Genomic DNA, 23092 nt, shown 5'->3' with positions numbered 1-23092 from the left:
GTGGCCACTAGTTATGTGTATCGAGCACTTGGAATGTGGCTAGTGTGGCTGAGAAAGTAAAGTTTTAATTGTATTTAATTAATTAAAAATTAGTGGCTGGGCCCGGTGGCTCACACTTGTAATCCCAGCACTTTGGGAGACTGAGGCGGGCGGATCACAAAGTCAGGAGTTCAAGATCAGCCTGGCCAACACAGTGAAACCCTGTCTCTACTAAAAATACAAAAATTAGCTGGGTGTGGTGGCGGGCGCCTGTAATCCCAGCTACTTGGGAGGCTGAGGCAAGAGAATCGCTTGAACCTGGGAGGCACAGGTTGTGGTGAGCCGAGATCGTGCCACTGCACTCCAGCCTGGGCGACAGAGCTAGACTCCGTTACAAAAAAAAAAAAAAATAGAAAAATAATTTAAATAGCCACATGTTGCTAATGCCTACAGTATTGGGCAACTCAGTTCTTGAGAGAGATTACAGAATTCCTTCTAAGATCCCCTAGCACTGAGCACAGTGCCTGATACATATTAGCCAGATGAAATGAGAAATCAGGAAATGCAGCATATATATAGGAAGACAAAAACCCCCAGGCACACACACGTATCGTTGAAATGACACTGAACTCATTAACCTAATATGGAATGTAAAAGGAATTCACTTAGGAAAATAATCATTGCAAGTTCTTTGCTTGCTGACTAATTCATACAGGGTAAAAGTAAAAAAAATAAATTTTCTGTATGATTAAACTGGGTTACCAAGCAGATAAGATCCTATAAAACCCATAAAAGCTTGTTAGATCCCTGCCAGGGCATGAGATCTGTAAGCCTATGGAGTGACTTCCTTTTAAGGTGACAGCCCCTCTGGGTGAGGCAGAAGCCATTCCCACCTCCCGCTGTGTGTTCCAAGCCTCCTCCCTGAGTCAGCGGCAGGCACTTTAGGGCAGCGTCCTGTCCTGTCACTAGTGTGTAGCTAAGGAAACCTGGCTGAACGCATTGTTACTATGGCTCTGTGTGCCAGATCTCCGGGGCTGAGCATAACAGAAGAAGCTTAAGGACACTACATGCAACAGCCAGTGAGAGCAGGAGACATCGGTGTTTCCAGAGTCCAGACCCACCACAGTAAGTGAGAAATGAATGCTGGATTTTCCCCATCAGGCAATTCGCTGGCTTCCCTCATTTCCTTTTTATACTAACACCTGACACTTTAGAAAGTGGTCATATCTGTCATCACTGAGATATAAGAACAATTTTTTTCATAAACGTGAAATTTCTAAAGTAATAAAAATGGCATGAATTGAGATGCTGTTTTTGAGTGAAACATTGTACAGACGATTTTGAAGTGAAAAAAGAATGTTGAAATGGTATGTGTAGCAGGAACCCATGACTGTCGAAATGAACACGTATGTATAGAATAAACAAGAATGACATATTAGTGTGTAAAAAGAGGTATCCTACAGAAGTAACATTTTCAGTGATTTTCATTGTTTCTTTTGGCTTGCCTATGTTTTCCAAATTCCCTCCAATAAATATGCATTACTTTTATGATGAAAAACTTTACATTTTAAAAAACTACATTCTCTATCTTGACTAAATAATCCTTTGGTAATAATAATAGTAATATAGTAATATAGCAGGGAAGGAAGGAAAGAAGGAAGGAATGAAGGAAGGAAAGGAAGAGAAAGAGAAAACATCCTCAGATAATTTGTCCTAAAGTCTCCACTTTTACCAATTTTGAACGTTATTTGACAGTTCCTATGAAATTGGCTGTTTTTACCAATCTGTAATAGTCAAGAGGAACCATTTTGGTCAACTAGAGACAGATTACCCAGTTTCAAGATTTCAGATGAAATAAATTTAATTTAAAATAATAGCAAATGCTTTTTTATGTATAGTACTGAGAACTCAGAAGATGATGAATTAGTAATTGGTGTATTCATGTATTTATTCAACTGGTAAATGTTAGAAACCATGCAACATGCTAGAGATAAAAGGATGAATAAATGAACACAGATTTAACTATACATTTTATTTTTTAAACTTATATTTTAACTACTTCCAAAAATGATTTGTGCTGGATTATAGAAATTTTATTTTTTCATTTTTTACTTTTATTATTATTTTTTAATACAGGATCTGGCTCTGTCACCCAGGCTGGAGAGCCATGGCTCATTCTCAGCTCACTGCAACCTCTGCCCCCCCAGGCTCAAGCCATCCTCCCACCTCAGCCTTCAGAGCAGCTGGGAAGGACTACAGGCACAGGCCACCATGCCCAGCCAATTTTTTTGTATTTTTGGTAGAGATAGGTTTTGCCATGTTGACCAGGCTGATCTTGAACTCCTGGGCTCAAAGCAATCCACCTGCCTTGGTGGGATTACAGGCATGAGCCACTGCACCCAGCCAGATTGTAGAAATTTTATCAGAAACATATTTATTATTGTAGACAATATTATTATTGTAGACATTATTAAATAGTCAAATGATCTATTAGATATAAAGGTATCAAAAACCTATTCAATCGTTTTGGAAAATGACATTGTAAGGATTTGAGAAGTCACCAGAAGAAAATCCAAATTATTTTCATCCCAGAATACTAGGAAAGACATTTGAAAAGTCTGCCACTTTAATTCTGCTTTTTACTAGTTGATGGGTCTTAAACAAGGTACATCAACAACCTCTCAGATTTAATAGATCCATGTCATAGAGAAGTTTTCATATTATTTGAATTTCAAAGTTGAAAGACTAAAATGCAAATACTCTGAAAGCAACATTGCTGGCAAACAGCTGGTTTGCATTTACATTTTCTAAGCTCCAATAGATCCTTACCTACCTTTTAAGGATTTTCTAAGGCCACCAGGACATTATATTTTTAAACACTGGCAGCTTACTACTGTTAGAATTTTGTTTTGCCCACCTGTTCAGTCGGTGGTGACCTATCTCTGAACTATGGTTGATGCTTCCTTTCTGCATACTCCCAGGCTACCTTTTACTCCAGCAATCATCAAAGCCAGGGAGTACTGAAAAACCAGGGACTTTGGGTTAACACACATGAGTGGCAGACATCACCCCTCTTGACCCAGCTGCCCCTCTAAGGGGCTTTGAGAAAAGCACAAGAGAAAAAAAAATGATCCTAGGGCTAGGTTGGATACTGGCAGTCCCTCAAGAGGAAAGCAGAAGACCATTGGAAAGAGAGATCAGATGCTGGAAACCAAGATGAATCTGAGAAGACAGAACAATCAAATGACAAATCGGGGGCAGATGAGGGCCAGAGTGATGGGAGAGGGCCAGGAGAGATGAGAGGGAGCTGAGAGGAGGGTAAAGACTAGGATGGTTTTGGAACTCATTTAGGGACACTGAGCTCTACTTTCCATATGCTGTCAATGAACAACAGGCCTGTTCTTGGTGGGCAAGGGGTACGTCTTCCACCCCATACCATCTTGAACAATGCCATCCCTCATAGCTTGGGGTTTACTATTTATTTAAAAAAAATTAACCCAGGTATTGTGATTTTATTTTTGACCTCTACACTGTCAATAGCCAACAAACAGGACTTCAATCCTATCATCAGAATTATTAGATACAATGCAATAACCAACCCAGGATTTGTCCTCATCCATGAGGGCCCTACAAGGAGAATCCTTTCATTGTCCTTCTGAGTGTCACATTCCTTCAACACCTACAAGCTTCCCAAAGTGACTCCAAAACTACCATGCAGCAGTAGTGACATGGCTCCTTATTTTCACAGTGATTAATATTTACTGAGAACCTGCTATTTACAGTTACTTTACATACATTATCCTTCTTCATGTGCATAACAACCCTGTGAAGGAGGTAGCCATATCCCAGTTTAAAAGGACAAACTGAAATGCAGAAGGGTTCAGAAAGTCTGAAACACATACAGCTGCTACATGTCACGGCTGGGTTTGAAGCAGGCCCCAGCTCTTTTCCTTGTGCTGTGATGTTGCTGTATCGCTCAGATCTAATGTTCTGTGGCCCATTTTACCATGGTATCACTGAATTAGCACATTATCAATTCCCTAATCACATGGCTGCTTCTTAGCCACACATAATTCTACTCTATGTTAGCGAGCTGGGCTCAGCAGTTACTTTGATCTTTTTTTAAAGGCTGCAGTGAACATCCAGTAATAATGTATGAGCAACGTAACCTTTCAAAGTGGAAATATGTCTAATGGTCACAACCACCTCTCCTTTCAACTCCCTTACCCTCACATCTCCATTGCAATTATTCCTTAATTATTGAAACCTCTAGTCCATTGATGCTGTCACTCTTTCACAATTTTCACTACTCTCGAAACCTTGCTTCTCTTTTTGCCCAGCTTACAATTCATGACCCATTTCTAAAATCATTTAATTGAAAACATGCTCAATTTTCTGGCCCCACTCTCCCTGTACTTACCTGGCTAGACTCCAACTCTTCATGAGCCTAACTAGCCATTTTCTCTATGCCTAGAGATTAATCACATCTGTTGTCCTGGCTGCACTTTAAATTTGCAATCTCAGGCCTCAAATAGGCCCTTAGTACTGCGAAAGAGTCCTACTAGTTTTCCCTAATAAAGTTCCCCTTTGAGTCTTTGAAATGACGATTTCACATTTCCTCTCTCCCAAAACCTCTCACACTTCTCCCTCCCTATTCATAGCTGATGACTTAGACTCATACTTCATTGAAAAAGAAATCTAATATTGGACAAGAGTGCCTTCATCTCGTCAAATCTATGTACCTCAGTCTCTGTGCCCATATTGTCTCTGCCTTCCCTGTTTTTGAAACAGGAGAAATGTGTCTGCTCCTATCAGAGGTGAATCCTTCCGGTCCTACTCTGATCCTACCCACCCTCACCTTTCCAAGGATTCTTGTTCTTATAGTTAAACTCCTTCTATTCTGCAGCATCTATGGCTTTCTCCACATGGTGTCATTCCAGGCAACATATACGCAAGTTCTGTGAACTCCCAAATTACAAAAACAAAAAAAACCTCAAAATACTTCCTTGGTTTTCATCATTCTCTTTTTTGGTTACTCTATCAAGATTCTGTTTTTGTTTGTTTGTTTGTTTTGGTGGTTGTTGTTTCTGTGTGTGTGGATTTTTTTGTTGTTGTTCGTTTGTTTGTATGTTTGTTTGTTGTTGAGACAGGTCTTATTATGCTGCCCAGGCTGGAATGCAGTGGCAGCACCCTGCAGCCTCAACCTCCTAGGCTTAACCAATCTTCCCACCTCACCCTCTTGAGTAGCTGAGACCACAGGCACATGCCACCATGCTTGGCTAATTTTTTTTTTTTTTTTTTTTTTGTAGAGAAAGGGATATCACTATGTTGCCCATTCTGCTCTTGAACTCCTGGGCTCAAGTGATCCTCCTGCCTTGACCTCCCAAAGTCCTGGGATTACAGGCATGAGCCATCACACCTGGCTTCAAGCTTCTACTTAACCATTTACTGAATCTGCTCTGTCAAGGCCACCACAATCTTAATATTGCTAGATCCTATGTGCACTTCTCCTGTTTTCATTATACTCACCTTCTTCACAGCCACAACTGATCCAGCTGTCCAATTCCTTCATGGAAAACTTTTCTCTCTTGGCTTTTATGATGAACGCTTTCCCATATCTAGCTCTGGCCAATCCTTTCTTTATTTCTTTTACTTTATCTGATCTCAATACTGGACTGACTTCTAAATCTATGTGCAGTCTCTCCAGGTGATCTTGTCCAGTTCCTGACCATAAATGTCAGCTATGTGCCATTTGCCATTCATCCGACACCCTGAATTTTGGACTCATAATCAACTAACTACCTGGTACCTCCACTTGATAACAAACATTGACTTCTCTGGCACTTTCCATCAGGATCCTGTCCAACAGCCACTCCTCCCTTCTTCTTTGCCATCAGAACCTTGATTTTATGCAGTTCCCAGGGGGCCATGGTCTTCAGGGTGACTGGTCATCCAAGTGACACTCGATTAGTCATGGCCCCATCATGGCAGCTCAATTCCTGTTGTCAGCAATCGGTTTAAAAATTGGAATGCACATGTGGCACAATTCTGGCTAATGAGTTGAAAGGAAAATCTGCTACAGAACTTCCTGGGATATTTTCCTTGCTATTAAAAAGGAATATGTAAGTCTCTTCCTTGTTTATCCTATATTCTATTGTCTATAAAGCCCTCTATCATCCGGCCCTTGTTAACCTTTTTCATCTCATGTCATTCTTTCTTTGCTTACTCAGCACACTGGCCTCCTCTCTATTTTTCAAACCCACCAGGTGTCGGGGTCTCTGGCCTTGCTGGATGCTTCCCCTGAATACCTTTCTTAAAGTTCTTTGCATGTCTTGCTCCTTCTTGTCATGCAGGATTCAACTCAACTGTCATCTGTTTAGAAAGGCTTCCCCTGCTCATCCCACTATAATCATAAATGATAATGTAAGTTTTATTTATATTTCTGTCATGACTTGCTGTATGACTCTTATTACAATCTAAAATTACCATGTTATATGTTTTTTTCTGTCTCACTCAAGGATCATAAGATCTTAGAGAAGCTTATTCTTAAAGGACTATTAATCCTTCTTCAAGGCTATGATCTTGTGCTATATTTTCAGAGCCTAGAACAGTGCTTGGAACGTTGCATTAACTGAATTGTTGAATGCATACTGACCTCTAATATCGAAAATATATCATAGACGTGGCATGACTAAATAGAAGATTTGAAAATACAGTCCTGAGAAATCTGACTTGTGGGACATATATAAAATTCCAATTGGCTGTACTGAGCTCAGGTTGGGGCTGTGGCACCAGAGTGAAGTTAATCCACTGAGCATCAGCTAAGGTAGCTCTGACTCAAATAATGTCCTTAAGAAACAGGCTCTCCATGCTTTTCTTTTCTGAGATGAGGAGAAAGAAGATTAAAAGAGATTAAAAGATTTTAAAAGATTGAACAAGTTTAAATATTTTTTGAAAGGAAGAAAGTTATATTTGGAGAATAAAGCTAATGTTAATTTTTGGCACCTTCAGTACTAAAGCAGAGATGACCAAAGACAGATGGAGTGTTGTAGTCCATTTGGATTACTTTAATAGAACATCACAGGCCAGAAGGATTAAACGACAAACATTTCTTTCTTACAGTTCTGGAAGCTGGGAAGTCCAAGATCGGAGTGCAGCATGGTTGGGTTCTTAGTGAGGGCCCTCCTTCTGGTTCATAGATGGCTGTCTGTCTTCTCATGAGATCCTCACACAACAGAGAGAGAGCCCCAGTTTTCTCACCCCCTTATAAAGATATATTTAATCACATTATGGGGGCTCAACCCTCATGACCTTATTTAAACCTAATTACCCTCCGAAGGTTCCACCTTCAGATACCCTCACAGTGGTGATTAGAGCTTCAACAGATGAATTTTGGGGGAAGGATCACAAACATTCAGTTCATAAGCTTCCTTCTCTCAAGGCCCAAAACAAAAATATAGTTCCTTACCTGGACCCTTTAACATATATTATTTTGTAAATGGCATCTAAATCATAAAATTCATTCCACTAACTTTGGGGAAATGTTTTTTAAAGATTTGGATGGAGTATGGTTGGGTTAATGAGGAGACTGTACAGTAAGGAAAACTCTTGGGTTGCTGAATTGAGTTTTAGAATTTCTGACTGAAATTCGCAAATTTGGTTTAGTATAAATAATTTCAAGCTACTTTTTAAAAAGTGAAAAGTCCTACTATGGTTGTAAGTAATAGTACAAATAATAATGATATATTTATTATTCAAGAGTGAAAAAAAATTAGGATGGGAAAGCAGAGAAGCCTAAATGGATAAGACCAGGTTTTCAGCAGTTGTTTAATTTCCAAATTGTGCATCTCTTATATTATATTCTGTGGAACTGCAGAGTTTCATAATGTTTCTTTTATTATTTACTACAAAGTTTGATGTGACATATGAAATATACACTTTAAATGTTTACCCTTGTGGATAAATAATAGTACAAGCAGTTATTATATTACTTTTATAAAAAGTATATCTATTTGAAGTTAAGCTTAATAATCATAACTTCCATTTATTGACCATTATGCTGGTTTCTAAATACACATTATTAATAATCTTACCAAGTAGGAAAGATGTTATGTTATTCCCCTTTAACTGAACAAAGGCTTAAATACTTACCTCAGGTCACATTGATAGTAAGTGCCACAGACAATATTTGAACCCATTATTTTTTTCCTGACAATAAACCTCAGAACCTTTCCATGGCATGTAGCTTACTGTATCAGCCAATAATTTTCTTATTGCTGTTCATTTTTTTCAGCCAAACTGCTGGTTTATACATGCACCTTATAAAGGAAAGGAAATCAAGACATCAATATTACCTAGTCTTGGTAAAATTCAAATTTTGCTACATTAGTACAGCCTTATGAACATTAATAAAAACAGAATACTATTACCTTCTTGCACTTATCAGATCTATTCTATAGTCATCCATCCATCCATCCAAAACATACTGGTTGAGTACATACTACATGCCAAACACAGTATTAGTTGCAGAAATTATTTTTCATCTGAGTATTGCTAGTACCAAGCACTTTTTGATGTCCTGTAAATGTTTGTAGTATGAGTAAATGAACAGAAAAGAAAACTAAATATACTTCAAATTAAAAACACTTTTCTGGCTGGGCACGGTGGCTTACGCCTGTAATCCCAACACTTTGGGAGGCCGAGGCAGGTGGATCACGAGGTCAGGAGATCGAGACCATCCTGGCTAACACAGTGAAACCCCGTCTCTGCTAAAAAATACAAAAAAAAAGTTAGCCAGGCATGGTGGTGGGCACCTGTAGTCCCAGCTACTCGGGAGGCTTAGGCAGGAGAATGGCGTGAACCCGGGAGGTGGAGCTTGTAGTGAGCTGAGTTTGCGCCACTATACTCCAGGGCCTGGGCGACAGAGCGAGACTCCGTCTCAAAAAAAAAACAAAAAACCTCTTTTCTTCAATAAGCTGATATTTTATTACAATTGTAATGTCATGGATAACTAATAAATTTTTAAATAACATTATTTAATGTAATTAATGATTCTTAATATATACACATAGTTATGTGATCACCACAATATAATTTTAGATTTTTTTTTTTTTTTGAGACAGTCTCACTCTGTTACTCAGGCTGGAGTGCAGTGGTGCAATCTCAGCTCACTGCAACCTCCACCTCCTGGGCTCAAGTGATCCTCCAACCTCAGTCTCTTGAGTAGGTTAGGCCTATAGACATGCCATGCCCGGCTAATTTTTGTATTTTTTGTAGAGACAGGGTTTTGCCACATTGCCCAGGCTGGTCTCGAACTCCTGGACTCAAGCAATCTGCCCGCCTTGGCCTCCCAAAGTGCTGGGATTATGGGTGTGAGAGCCACTGCACCCAATCTTAATTACCTATTCTATTTTCTATCACCTCTAAAAGAAACTTCACACTCGTTAGCAGTCACTTCCCACTCCTCTCCCCCCAAGTCACCTAGCTTGAGGCAATTACTAATCTCTTTTCTGTCTCTGTAGATTTGCCTAATTTGGACTTTTCATATAAATGGAATCATATAATTGTGGTCTTTTATGTCTGTCTTCTTTCACTTAGCATGTTTTCAAGGTTCATCCATGTGGTAGTATGTATCAGTAGTTCATTTCTTTATTGCTGAATAATATCCCATTGGATGGATATGCCACATTTTGTTTATTCATTCATCAATTTATGGACATTGGGTTGTTTCCATTTTTTGGCTATTGTGACAAATGCTACTATGCATGTTCACATATAGCTTTTGTGTGGATATGTGTTTTTATATTTATTGTGTATAGATCTAGGTGTGGAATTGCCGAGTCATAAGGTAACTATATGTTTAACACTTTCAGAATGTCAAACTGTTTCCCAAAGCAGCGACACCATTTTACATTCCCACAAACAATGTACAAAGCTTCCCATTTGTTCACATACTAAACAAGACTTGCTATTTTCTGTCTTTTAAAATTATACCCAGGCTAGTGTTTGAGAACAGGATCTTATTGTGGTTTTGATTTCCATTCCCCTAATGATTAATGATCTTTTCGTGTGCTTGTTGGTTATTCGTATATCTTTTTTGAAAAAATGTCTATTCAACTTCTTTACCCATTTTTAAATTGCATTGTTTGTCTTTTTATTGTTGAGTTGGAAGGGTTCTTTATGTATTCTGGACACGTGATTTTTATCAGCTTTGGAAATATTTTCTTTAATTCTGTGAGTTGTCTCTTCACTTTCTTGATGGTATTCCTTGTAGCAAAAAAGTTTTCAATTTTGATGAAGTCAAATTTATCTATTTTTTTATTTTGTCACTTGTACATTTAGTGTCATATCTAAAAAGGCTTAGCCCAACTCAAAGCCACAACAATTTATTTCTACATTTTCTTCTCAAAGTTTCATAGTTCTAACTCTTACATATAGGTCTATGATCCATTTTGAGGTAATTTTTGTGTGTAATTTGAGGAAGGGTCCAACTTCATTCATTTGCATGTAGATATTTAGTTATCTGGGTATAATTTGTTGAAAACACCACTCTTTTTCCCTTGAATTGCCTTAGCACCCTTGTCAAAAATCAATTGACTATGAATATAGGAATTATTTTTGGAGTCTCAGTTATGTTCCACTGATCTATATGTATAACCCACTGCCAGAGGACCACATTTCATTGCTCTTTGTAGCAAGTTTTGAAATCCAGAATTGGAGTCCTCCAACTTTGTTCTTTGTTTCTCCAGATTGTTTTGGTTATTTTGGCTCTCTTGCTTTTCTACATGAATTTTAAGATAAACTCTTCAGTTTCTGCAAAGAAAAAGGCAGTTGGAATTTTCCATTGACTTTGTAGATCAATGTAGGGAGTACTGCCATCTTAACAATGTTATGTCTTCTTATCTATCAACATGCAATGTGTTCCATTTATTTAGGTCTTCTTTAATTTTCTTAATATTTTATAATTTCCAGAGCACAAGTTTTACATTTCTTTTTTTAAATTTAGTCCTAAGTACTTTATTCGTTTTGGTGCCATTGTAAATGGAATTATTTTCTTAATTTTGATTTTGGATTGCTCATTGAAATTGATATAAATACAATTATTTTTTGTATATTAATCTTTTATCCTATCATTTTGCTGAGCTCATTTATTCTAATAGGCTTTTAGTAAGTTGTTTAGTATTTTCTACATACAGGATCATGTTATTTGCAAATAGATAAACTACTACTTCTTTCTTTTCAATATGGATGTTATTTATTTTATTTTCTTGCCTAATTTTCCCTGACTAGAACTTCTGGTCTGATATTGAATAGATGTGATGAGAGTGGACATCCTTGTCTTGTTCTTGATCTTAGAGGGAAAACATTCTGTCTTTCACCGTTAAGTATGTTAGCTGTGAGTTTTTTTGTAGATGTTCTTTATCAGATTGAGGAAGTTCCTGTCTATTCATAGATTGTTAAGTCTTTTTGCCAGAAAAGGGTATTTGGTTTTATCAAGCTTTTTTTCTGTTTTTTTATTGAGGTGATCATGTGTTTTTTCTTTGTTTTATTAATGTGGTATATTAAATTAACTGATTTTTTAATGTGAAACCAATCCTGCATTCCTGGGATAAATCTCACTTAGTCATGGTGTATGTGTTGCTATGCTCAATTTGCTAGCATTTTGTTGAGCATTTTTGCATATATGTGAATATGGAATATTAGTCTGTGGTTTTCTTGTGATGTCTTTGGTTTTGTGTAACATGGCTTCTTAATATGGTTTTGATTTCCATTCTCCTAATGATTAATGATATTTTCATGTGCTTGTTGGCTATTTGTATATCTTTTTTGGAAAAAAAAGGGTATATTCAAATCCTTTACCCATCTTTAAATTGCATTGTCTTTTTATTGTTGAATTGGAAGAGTTCTTTATATATTGAATGTAAAGAGTTCTTTATATATTGAATATAATATGACTTCTTAATGAAGTTGGTGTGCTTAATGAAGTTGGTGTGCTTAATGGTGTCCCACAGTTCTCTGAGGATACATTTTCTTCATTTTTTTTCTCTTTGTTCTATGTTGCATAATGTCTATCAATCTATCTTCAGGTTTACTGATTCTTCTGCCAGATTAAATCTATCGTTAAAGTTCTGTAGTGAATTTTTCATTTTAGTTACCATATTTTTAATGCCAGAATTTCCTTTTGGTTCTTTTAAAAATAATGTTATTTCTTAATGGGTATTCTCTATTTGATAAGACACTGTCATCAGGCTTTCCTTTAATTCTGTAAACTTGGTTTACTTTATTTCTTTGAACATATTTATAATGACTAAAGTCATTGCCTACTAATTCCGACATCTGGGTCCTCTCAAAGGCATTTTCTGTTGCTTGCTTTCTTTCCCCACCTCCCCACCATGTATGGGTGACCTTTTCCTGTTTCTTTAAATGTCTCATAATTCTAATATTGTAAATGGAACATTTTATTTTAATTAATTTATTTATTTACATTAGTTATTGAGGTACAGGTAGTATTTGGTTACATGAGCAAGTTTTTTAGTGGTGATTTGTGAGATTTTGGTGCACCCATCACCTAAGCAGTATACACTGTACCATATCTGCAGTCTTTTATCCCTCACCCCCCTCCCATTCTTCCCCCCAAGTCCCCAAAGTCCATTGTATCATTCTTATGCCTTTGTGTCCTCATAGCTTAGCTCCCACATATCAGTGAGAACATATGACTTTTGGTTTTCTATTCCTGAGTTACTTCACCAGAATAATAATCTCCAATTATTCTAAGTGAAGATTGCTGCAAATGCTGTTAATTCCTTCCTTTTTATGGCTTAGTAGTATTCCATCATATATATATATACCACAGTTTCTTTATCCACTGATTGATTGATGGGCATTTGAGTTGGTTCCACGATTTTGCAATTGTGAATTGTGCTGCTATTAACATGCATGTGCAAGTGTCTTTTTCGTATAATGTCTTCTTTTTCTCTGGGCAGATACCCAGTAGTGAGATTGCTAGATCAAATGGTATTTCTCCTTTTAGTTCCTTAAGGAATCTCCACACTGTTTTCCACAGTGGTTGTACTAGTTTACATTCCCATCAGCAGTGTAGAAGTGTTCCCTGATCACTGCATCCATGCCATCATCTACTATTTTCTGATTTTTTTATTATGGCCATTCTTGCAGGAGTAAGGCAGTATTGCCTTGTGATTTTGATTTGCATTTCCCTGTTCATTACTGATGTTGAGCATTTTTTCATGTTTGTTGGTCATTTGTATATCTTCTTTTGAGAATTGTCTATTCATGACCTTAGCCCATTTTTTGATGGGATGTTTTTTTTAATCTTACTGATTTGTTTGAGTTCATTGTAGATTCTTGATATTAGTCCTTTGTCAGATGTATACATTGTGCAGATTTTCTCCCACTCTGTGGGTCATCTGTTTACTCTGCTGACTGTTCCTTTTGCTGTGCAAAAGCTCTTTAGTTTAATTAGGTCCCTACTATTTATCTTTGTTTTCATTGTGTTTGCTTTTGGGTTCTTGGTCATAAAATCTTTGCCTAAGCCAATGTCTAGAAGGGGTTGTCCAAAGTTATCTTTTAGAATTTTTACAGTTTCAGGTCTTAGATTTAAGTCTTTGATCCATCTTGAGTTGATTTTTGTATAAGGTGAGAGATGAGGATCCAGTTTCATTCTCCTACATGTGGCTAGCCAATTATCCCAGCACCATTTGTTGAAAAGGGTGTCCTTTCTCCAATTTATGTTTTTGCTTGCTTTGCTGAAGATCAGTTGCCTGTAAGTATGTGGGTTTATTTCAGTTTTCTATTCTGTTCCATTGGTCTATGTGCCTGTTTTTATACCAGTACCATGCTGTTTTGGTAGCTATGGCCTTATAGTATAGTTTGAAATCAGGTAGTGTGATGCTTCCAGATTTGTTCTTTTTGCTTAGTCTTCCTTTGGCTACGTGGGCTCTTTTTTGGTTCCATATGAATTTTAGAATTGTTTCTTCTAATTCTGTGAAGAATGATTGTGGTATTTTGATGGGAATTGCCTTGAATTTGTAGATTGCTTTTGGCAGTATGGTCATTTTCAAAATATTGATTCTATCCATCCATGAGCATGGGAGTGTTTCCATTTGTTTGTGTGCATCTATGATTTCTTTCAGCAGTGTTTTACAGTTTTTCTTGTAGAGGTCTTTCAATTCCTTGGTTAGGTATATTCCTAAGTATTTTATTTTATTGCAGCTTTTGTAAAAGGGGTTGAATTCTTAGTTTGATTCTCCACTTGGTCACTGTTGGTGTATAAAAGAGCTACTGATATTTGTACATTAATCTTGTAACTGGAAAATTTGCTGATTTACTGAATTCTTTTTTTTTTTTTTCTTTTTTTTTTTGAGACAGAGTTTCACTCTTGTTGCCCAGACTGGAGTGCAATGGTGTGATTTCGGCTCACCACAACCTCCACCTCCTGGGTTTAAGCGATTCTCCCCCCTCAGCCTCCAGAGTAGCTGGGATTACAGGCATGTGCCACGATGCCCGGCTAATTTTGTATTTTTAGTAGAGATGGGGGTTTCTCCATGTTGATCAGGCTGGTCTCGAACTCCTGACCTGAGGTGAGCCACGGCCTCGGCCTCCCAAAGTGTTGAGATTACAGGCATGAGCCACTGCGCCCAGCCTGCTGAATTTTTTTTATAAGTTCTAGGAGTTTTCTGGAGGAGTCTTTAGGGTTTTCAAGGTAAACGATCATATCGTCAGCAAACAGTGACAGCTTAACTTCCTCTTTGCTGATTTGGATGCTCTTTTTTTCTCTTTCTCTTGTCTGATTGCTCAGGATAGGACTTCTAGTACTATGTTGAAGAGGAGTGGTGAGAGTGGGCATCCTTGTTTTGTGCCAGTACTCAGAGGGAATGCTTTCAACATTTCCTCATTCAGTATTATGTTGGCTGTGGGTTTGTTATAGATGGCTTTTATCACATTGAGCTATGTCCCTTGTATGCCAATTTTGCTGAGAGTTTTGTCGAATGCTTTTTCTGCATTTATTGAGATAATCGTGGGATTTTTGTTTTAAATTTTGTTTATGGGGTGTATCACATTTACTGACTTGCGTCTGTTAAACCATCCCTGCATCCCTAGTATGAAGCCCACTTGATAATGTTGGATTATCTTTTTGATATGTTGTTGGATTTGGTTAGCTAGTATTTTGGATTTTAGCATCTATGTTCATCAAGGATATCGGTCTGTAGTTTTCTTTTTTGGTTATGTCCTTTCCTGGTTTTGGTATTAGGGTGATGCTGGCTTCATAGAATGAATTAGGGAGGGTTCTTTCTTTCTCTACCTTGTGGAATAGTGTCAATAGGATTGGTACCAATTCTTCTTTGAAGGTCTGTCTGGTAGAATTCTGCTGCGAATCCATCTAGTCCTGGACTTTTTTTGTTGGTAATTTTGTAATTACCATTTCAATCTCACTTCTTATTATTGGTCTGTTCAGTGTATCTAATTCTTCCTAATTTAAGCTAGAAGGGTTGTATTTTTCCAAGAATTTATCCTTCTCTTCTGGGTGTTCTAGTTTATGTGCATGAAGGTGTTCATAGCAGCCTTGAATGATCTTTCGTATTTCTGTGGCGTCAGTTGTAATATCCCCCATTTCATTTCTAATTGAGCTTATTTGGATTTTTCTCTCTTCTTTTCTTGGTTAATCTTGCTAATGGTCTATCAATTTTATTTATCTTTTCAAAGATAGATTTCAAACCTTTTTGTTTAATTTACCTTTTGTAATTTTTTTGTTTCAGTTTCATTTAGTTCTGCTCTGGTCTTGGTTATTTCCTTTCTTCTGCTGGGTTTGGGTTTGGTTTGTTCTTGTTTCTCTAGTTCCTTGAGGTGTGACCTTAGAATGTCAGTTTGTGCTCTTTCAGTCTTTTTGATGTAGGTGTTTAGGGCTATGAACTTTCCTCTTATCACTGCCTTTGCTGTATCCCAGGATTTTGATAGGTTGTGTCATTATTGTTGTTTAGCTCAAATAATTTTTAGATTTACATCTTGATTTCATTTTTGACCCAATGCTCATTCAGGAGCAGGTTATTTAATTTCCTTGTGTTTGCTTGGTTTTGAAGGTTCCTTTTAGAGTTGATTTCCAGTTGTATTCCACTGTGGTCTGACAGAGTGCTTGATATAATTTCAATTTTCTTAAATGTATTGAGGCTCCTTTTATGGCCTATCATATGGTCTGTCTTGGAGAAATTTCTATGTGCTGTTGAATAGAATGTGTGTTCTGCGGTTGTTGGATGAAATGTTCTATATATATCTGTTAAGTCCATCTGTTCCAAGATACAGTTTAAATCCATTGTTTCTTTGTTGACTTTCTGTCTTGATGATCTATCTAGTGCTGTCAGTGGAGTATTGAAGGCCCCCATTATTATTGTGTTGCTGTCTATATCATTTCTTAGGTCTATTATTAATTGTTTTATAATTTGGGAACTCCAGTCTTAGGTGGATATATGTTTAGGATCGTGATATTTTCCTGTTGGACAAGGCCTTTTACCATTACATGATGTCCCTCTTTGTCTCTTTTAACTGCTGTTGCTTTAAAGTTTGTTTTTTTTTTTCTGATATAAGAATTGCTACTCCTGCTCACTTTTGGTGTCTATTTGCGTGAAATGCCTTTTTCCACCCTTTTACTTTAAGTTTATGTGAGTCCTTATGTGTTAGGCAAGTCTCCTGAAGGCAACAGATAGTTGGTTGGTGAGTTCTTATCCATTCTGTAGTTCTGTATCTCTTAAGTGGAATATTTAGGCCATTTACATTCAATGTTAGTATTGAAATATGAGGTACCGTTGCATTCATTTTGCTATTTGTTGCCCTTGTACTTTAGGTTTTTTATTTTTTGTTTTTGCTTTTTAACTTGTATTTTTGTTTTATGGGTCCTGTGTGACTTATGCTTTAAAGAGATTCTGTTTTGATGTGTTTCCAGGATTCATTTGAAGATTTAGAGCTCCTTTTAGCAGTCCTTGTAGTGGTAGCTTGGTAGTGGTGAATTCTCTCAGCATTTGTTTGTCCAAAAAAGACTGTATCTTTCCTTCATATTTGATGCTTAGTTTCACTGGATACAAAATCCTTGACTGTTAATTGCTTTGTTTGAGTAGGCTGAAGATATGGCCTCAATCCCTTCTAGCTTGTAGGGTTTCTGCTGAGAAATCTGCTGTTAATCTGATCAATTTTCCTTTATAGGTTACCTGGTGCTTCTGTTTCACAGCTCTTAAGATTGATTCCTTCGTCTTAACTCTGGATAACCTGATGACAGTGTGTCCAGGCAGAGAGCTTTTTGCAATGAATTTTCCCAGGTGTTCTTTGTGCTTCTTGTATTTGGATACACTAGCAAGGCCAGGGAAGTTTTCCTTGATTATTCCCCCAAATATGTTTTCCAAGCTTTTGGAATTCTCTTCTTCCTCAGGAATACCAATTATTCTTAGGTTTGGTCATTTACCATAATCCCAGACTTCTTGGAGGCTTTGTTCATATTTTCTTATTCTTTTTTCTTTGTCTTTGTTTGATTGGGTTAATTTGAAGACCTTGTCTTCGAGCTCTGAATTTCTTTCTTTTACTTGTTCAATTCTATTGCTGAGGCTTTGCAGAGCATTTTACATTTCTATAAGTGTGTCCAATGTTTCCTGAATTTTTTATTGTTTTTTCTTTAAGCTCTCTATTTCCTTGAATATTTCACCCTTCACTTTTTGTATCTTTTTTGGGGTTTCCTTAGATTGGGCTTCACCTTTCTCTGGTCCCTCCCTGATTAGCTTAATAACTAACCTCTTGAATTCTTTTTCAGGTAAATCAGGGATTTATTTTTGGTTTGGATGCATTGCTGATGAACTAGTGTGATTTTTGGGGGGTGTCAAAGGGCCTTGTTTTGTCATATTACCATGGTTGGTTTTCTGGTTCTTTCTCATTTGGGTAGGCTCTGTCAGAGGGAAGGTCTAGGGCTGAAGGCTGTTGTTCAGATTCTTTTGTCCCACGGGGTGTTCCCTTGATGTAGTACTCTTCCCCTGTTCTTATGGATTTGGCTTCCTGTGAGCCGAACTGCAGTGATTGTTGTCTCTCTTCTGGGTCTAGCTACCCCTCAAGTCTACCTGGCTCTGGGCTGATACTGGGGGTTGTCTGCACAGAGTCCTGTGATGTGAACTGTCTATGGGTCTCTCAGCTGTGGATACCAGTGCTTGTTCTGGTGGAGGTGGCAAGGGGTGGGTGCAATGGACTCCGTGAGGGTTCTTAGCTTTGGTGGTTTAATGCTCTATTTTTGTGCTGGTTGGCCTCCTGCCAAGAGGTGGCGCTTTCCAGAGAGCATCAGCTGTGGTAGCGTGCAGAAGAACCAGCAGTGGGCAGGGCCCTAGAACTCCCAAGATTATATGCCCTTGGTCTTCTGCTACCAGGGTGGGTAGGGAAAGACCATCAGGTAGGGGTGGGGCTAGGCATGTCTGAGCTCAGAGTCTCCTTGGATGGGTCTTGCTGTGGGGGATGGGGGTGAGGTCCCCAGGCCAATGGAGTTATGTTCCTAGGCGGATTATGGCTGCCTCTGTTAAGTCATGCAGGTTGTGAGGGAAGTGGGAGAAAGCCGGCAGTCACAGGCCTCACCCAGCTCCCACTCAAACTGAAGGGCTGGTCTCACTCCCACTCTGCCCCGACTAAGAGCCCTGAGTCTGTTTCTGGCCAGTGGGCGAGACAGGCTACCCGCCTCCCAGCTGCGAAAGATAAGAGCTTGTTTCTTCCTCTGCCTGTGATGTCTACTCAATGGATTTGTGCCCTCCCCTGAGTTCTAGCCACGAGGCTTCTCGCCCCATTCAAATTGTTACAAAGTTCAGCTGGAGATTTCCTTCTCCCTGTGAAGTTTTCTGCCTCCTCCTCCTGCTCCTCCGGTCGCCCTCCCAATGGATCCCTGTGGTGCCAGGCAGGAATGGGCTGCTTGAGGACCCAGCAAGCTCAAGGGGCCTTTCTGCTGCTTCCTCTACCCCTGTATTTCACTCAGCTCTCTAAATTGACTCAGCTCCAGGTAAGGTTGGAAACGTCTCCTGCAAACAGACCTTCAGTTTCTCCAGCGGGGGTGTGTGTTTGGGAGAGGAGGCTCTCTTTCCCACTTTTGCATTTGGGACACTCAGTATTTGGGGTGTCTCCTGGGTCCTGCAGGAGCATTCCACTTCCTTTAGAGGGTCTGTGCGTCTTCTCGGGACTGCTGATTTGTTCTTGCAGTTGACCTGGAGCTAAAATTCACAATGCGAACCTCCACATGCTGCTCTGTCTGTCCGAGTCAGAGCTGCAATCTAGTCCTGCCTCCTGTCCACCATGATCCTCAAAAATGGAACATTTTAGATAATTTATTGTAGCAACTCCAGATACTGATCCTCTCCCAGGGCTTATTATTATTGTTGTGTAATTGTTTGATTATTTGTTTTTTTATTTGTTTGATTAGCTGGTTGGGTTAAGTTTCTTTCCTCCAGAGCATATAGCGTTGGATGCTCCATAATCTTGAGCATGTGCAGGCACCCTAACCACTCCTCATTTTCTCCTCCCCCCAAAAGTGGCAATGGTTTTAGCCAGGATCTTTTTTACTGCTTATTTCCCTGATATCCCTATTAAGGATCTAGTTGGTCAGCTTCCATTGGTTAGCATCCACGAATTGCTTGCTAATTACTTTATTGTTTATGACTATGTCCTGGGTCACAAATTAGTTCACAGTCTGATCTAATTAAAGTCAGATCTCTTTGGGGTGAGTTTTGTGGCTTACTCCAACTCCATGAGGACTCTTTTCAACTGTCTCTCTCTCTATATATATTTTTCTTTCTCTCTGTTAAGCTTCTACCTGGTCTGCCATTTTGTTTACTGCTATCATGGAATTAATAGCCATGATAGCAATAAACTTAATTGCTCACTATCAAAATTTCCATTATTTTCAATAGTGCACTTAGGCTTGAAATTCCTCACACTCCGTTCCAAATAAAATCAATCCCCTTAGAGAGAGATACAGAGCTCTTTGTTTTTACAGTCTGCCTAATCCCCAGAGGCATGACCTCTGCATTATTGATTTGGAACTCCCTTGGATTAACACCAGAGTCTATGAATAGGGCACTTAGTGAGGGTGGTAGCCACTGGTCCTCTTGGATTGTTTCTCTTGGTATGAAACTTTTCATCCTAAAAGCAATTTGGATTCGGGCTGATTAGGACTCAGTAGTCTTGACTTATCAAGCCTGAGGTAAAACTTCCACTTTACGAGTTAGGGGCTTGGTGAAGAACAGAAGCCCCAGACCTCTTGTTTGCACTTATCTAAAGTAGAGTTTCTGCAGTAAGGAGATAGGAGAAAGTAAGAAATATTGGTGACCTGGGCCACTCTGTGAGAAACCGTAACTCTACTATCGTTTAGAAGAAAAATGAACTCATGTTCTTGGCCATACCCAGTAGAACCTCCATCACACTGAACTTGGAGGTGGAGAGCAAGTTATGGCTCGAATCCCAGAGAGTCGCTTTTCCTAATAAGATTTAGTTAATTTTCTTTAATAAACATTTCTACATCTTCAGTATGTTATTAGGATACCTTCCAGACACTTTAAATGGTTGTTGTTTTTACAATTTTCATTATTTATAGTTGTTTTGCTGGGAAGAGTGTCCACAGAGCTTCTCATACCACCTTTGGGAAGTGCTTCTCCTTAACATGATGAATTAGCCTCCTATGGCTGCTTTAACAAATTACCAAAAACTTGATGGCTTAAAACAATACAGGTTTATTCTCCCACAGTTCTGGAGTCCAGAAGCCCAGAATCAGTTTCACTAGGCTAAAGTCAAGGTGTTGGCAGGGCTGGTTCCTTCTGGTGATACGAGGGGAATTCATCCCTTGCCTCTTTTAGCTTCTAGAGGCTGCTGGCATACCTTAGCTTGTAGCCACATAACTCAAATGTTTGCTTCATTGTCGCATGGCCTTCTCTCTGACTCTGACTCTTATGTCCCTCTCATGAGGACTCCTATGATTATGTCAGGCCCACCAGGGTAATTCAGGAGAGTCACCAATTTTAAGATTTTTAACTTGACCACATCTGCAGAGTTCCCCTTGCCATATAAGGTACCATTCTCAGGTTCCAGGAATTAGTATGTAAACATCTTGGGGGAAGTGATTATTAGAATCTACAATTCTGATGTTTGGAAGGTGATTTAGTCTTTTTAGATGAAAAAAATCATAGCTCAGATTTGTTACAAACCTACTGAAAATCATTTAGCTAGTGTGAGATAGAGCTAGAATTAGGCCTCTGAACTCCTGTTTTGGGATATAGTTGAATGATCCAAAAAATAAATAAAATCCATATTATTTATGAATTCTATTCCGAAACATAAATATAAAAATGGTGAATTATGGAGGCACAGATTGGTTTTTATCAAAACTAACTACCTGAAGTCAACTTCAAGTAATATATGCAATTCAATCATTGTATTCAAATTTCACCTTTTATAACATCCTTTGCCTTTTTTTTTTTTTTTTTTTTTTTTTTTTTTTGAGACGGAGTTTCACTCTGTCGCCCAGGCTGGAGTGCAGTGGCGCGATCTCGACTCACTGCAAGCTCCGCCTCCCGGGTTCACGCCATTCTCCTGCCTCAGCCTCCCGTGTAGCTGGGACTACAGGCGCGCGCCACCATGCCCGGCTAATTTTTGTATTTTTAGTAGAGACGGGGTTTCACCGTGTTAGCCAGGATGGTCTCGATCTCCTGACCTCGTGATCCGCCCGTCTCGGCCTCCCAAAGTGCTGGGATTACAGGCGTGAGCCACCGCGCCCGGCCCATCCTTTGCCTTTTAAAGAAAAGGATTGGCTACAAGAAAGATGTTTTCCCCAAAGTTAATTTAATTCATGTTCATGAATATGTGCAATAAAATGTAGTTATTACCACATGTGTTGTGGAATAAACATATGCACCTTTAGTTAATTTATGGATAATGTGTCCTGTGGTGATACCAGATGAGAGAAAGCATCCACACGTTCAGAAGGAACCTGGAAAATTTAGGTGAATTAACTGTGTGTGACATGTGAGGATCTCTCTCCCAAAATATTTTCACTGATTCGAGTTTACAAAGCGTGATCCCTTCCAGCACTTTTCTCTAGGATTGTTTTATCCCCCAGCACCTGAAGGACATTCAGGGCATGCTAACATTTCTCTTGTGACATAAAATGACCCATGAGAAGAACTGATTAACGACTGAGCACAGTACTTTGGGGAAAAAAGTCATCATGAAAGTTGGAACAGTTCCCTTTAACAATGTCTGCGCTTAGAGTTTTTCAAAGCTATTTCACTGAAAAAAGAAAAAAGAACTGAAAGAAAAAAAGAACAAACCTCCCTCCATGGATGCCTTTCAGAGGCTCATCCTCATCACTGAATAAGAAGATGAACAATAAGTTATTGTGAGTTATAAACAATAGTTACAGAGAAAGAATCTGGCCCTTGAAAGGGCTAGAATACGCTGCCAGATTTGACCTAACCCTCTTGTTAGCGTGTACAATTACCTTTGTGGTATCAGCTCAGAGAGTTGGGAGAAAAAGGTAGCATGATGGTGTTTTCTGGGTGCAGAACTAGTTTCTGTGGAATAGATCCTTTTTTATTGTAGAATGTTCTTTGTCTGACTTACTGATTTACTACTATTCTATAAAAACAGTGCAAGAGTGCATCAAACATTTCCTTACACTATTGCATTTAAAGGCCTCCTTTAAAAGAATCACAAAATAAATCTTTTTGATCAAGGAAAAACATTATTTGATGTATTCTCAAGTGATGGTCAAGCTTATTGAGAATTGGTTTTTGAGGTTTCAGCTTGGGTGGGAGCAATCTTTATGTTTATTCTGCTGAAAGTTCTATCAACTGCCTAGAACTCCCCAGCCCAGAAATAAATATGTAGAAGTAGTAGGTGAAACACGTGCTAAAAAATTATAGAACAAGGTTTCCAATCTCCATTGTATCCTATCTTTTAAATACTATGTGCATTCCCTTCTCAGGAAAGGACAAAACTTTTAGCTTTTACTGAGTACTGTTAGGAAATTCAGCCTAAAGAATCACTAGGTATATTAGTCAAATTATACTGAATTCAGTTCACAAAAAAAGTCATAACAATC

General features: G+C 38.5%; 1 protein-coding gene across 7 annotated transcripts in view; it reads left to right on the top strand.

The window, feature by feature from the left end:
* Positions 1 to 1019: 1019 nt before the first annotated feature.
* LMNTD1 (lamin tail domain containing 1) overlaps positions 1020 to 23092 on the top strand; it is a 172497-nt gene continuing 150424 nt past the window's right edge. For all 7 annotated transcript variants that reach the window (NM_001145727.3, NM_001352234.2, NM_001352233.2 and 4 more), the window contains exon 1: positions 1020 to 1104. In NM_001145727.3, the coding sequence (NP_001139199.1) occupies positions 1047 to 1104 (58 nt within the window). In that variant the 5' untranslated portion in view covers positions 1020 to 1046. The remainder of the gene's footprint in view (positions 1105 to 23092) is intronic.

Source organism: Homo sapiens, chromosome 12 (genome assembly GCF_000001405.40).
Source record: "Homo sapiens chromosome 12, GRCh38.p14 Primary Assembly".
NCBI classification, from domain to species: domain Eukaryota; kingdom Metazoa; phylum Chordata; class Mammalia; order Primates; family Hominidae; genus Homo; species Homo sapiens.
This window is presented reverse-complemented; position numbering and strand designations above follow the sequence as displayed.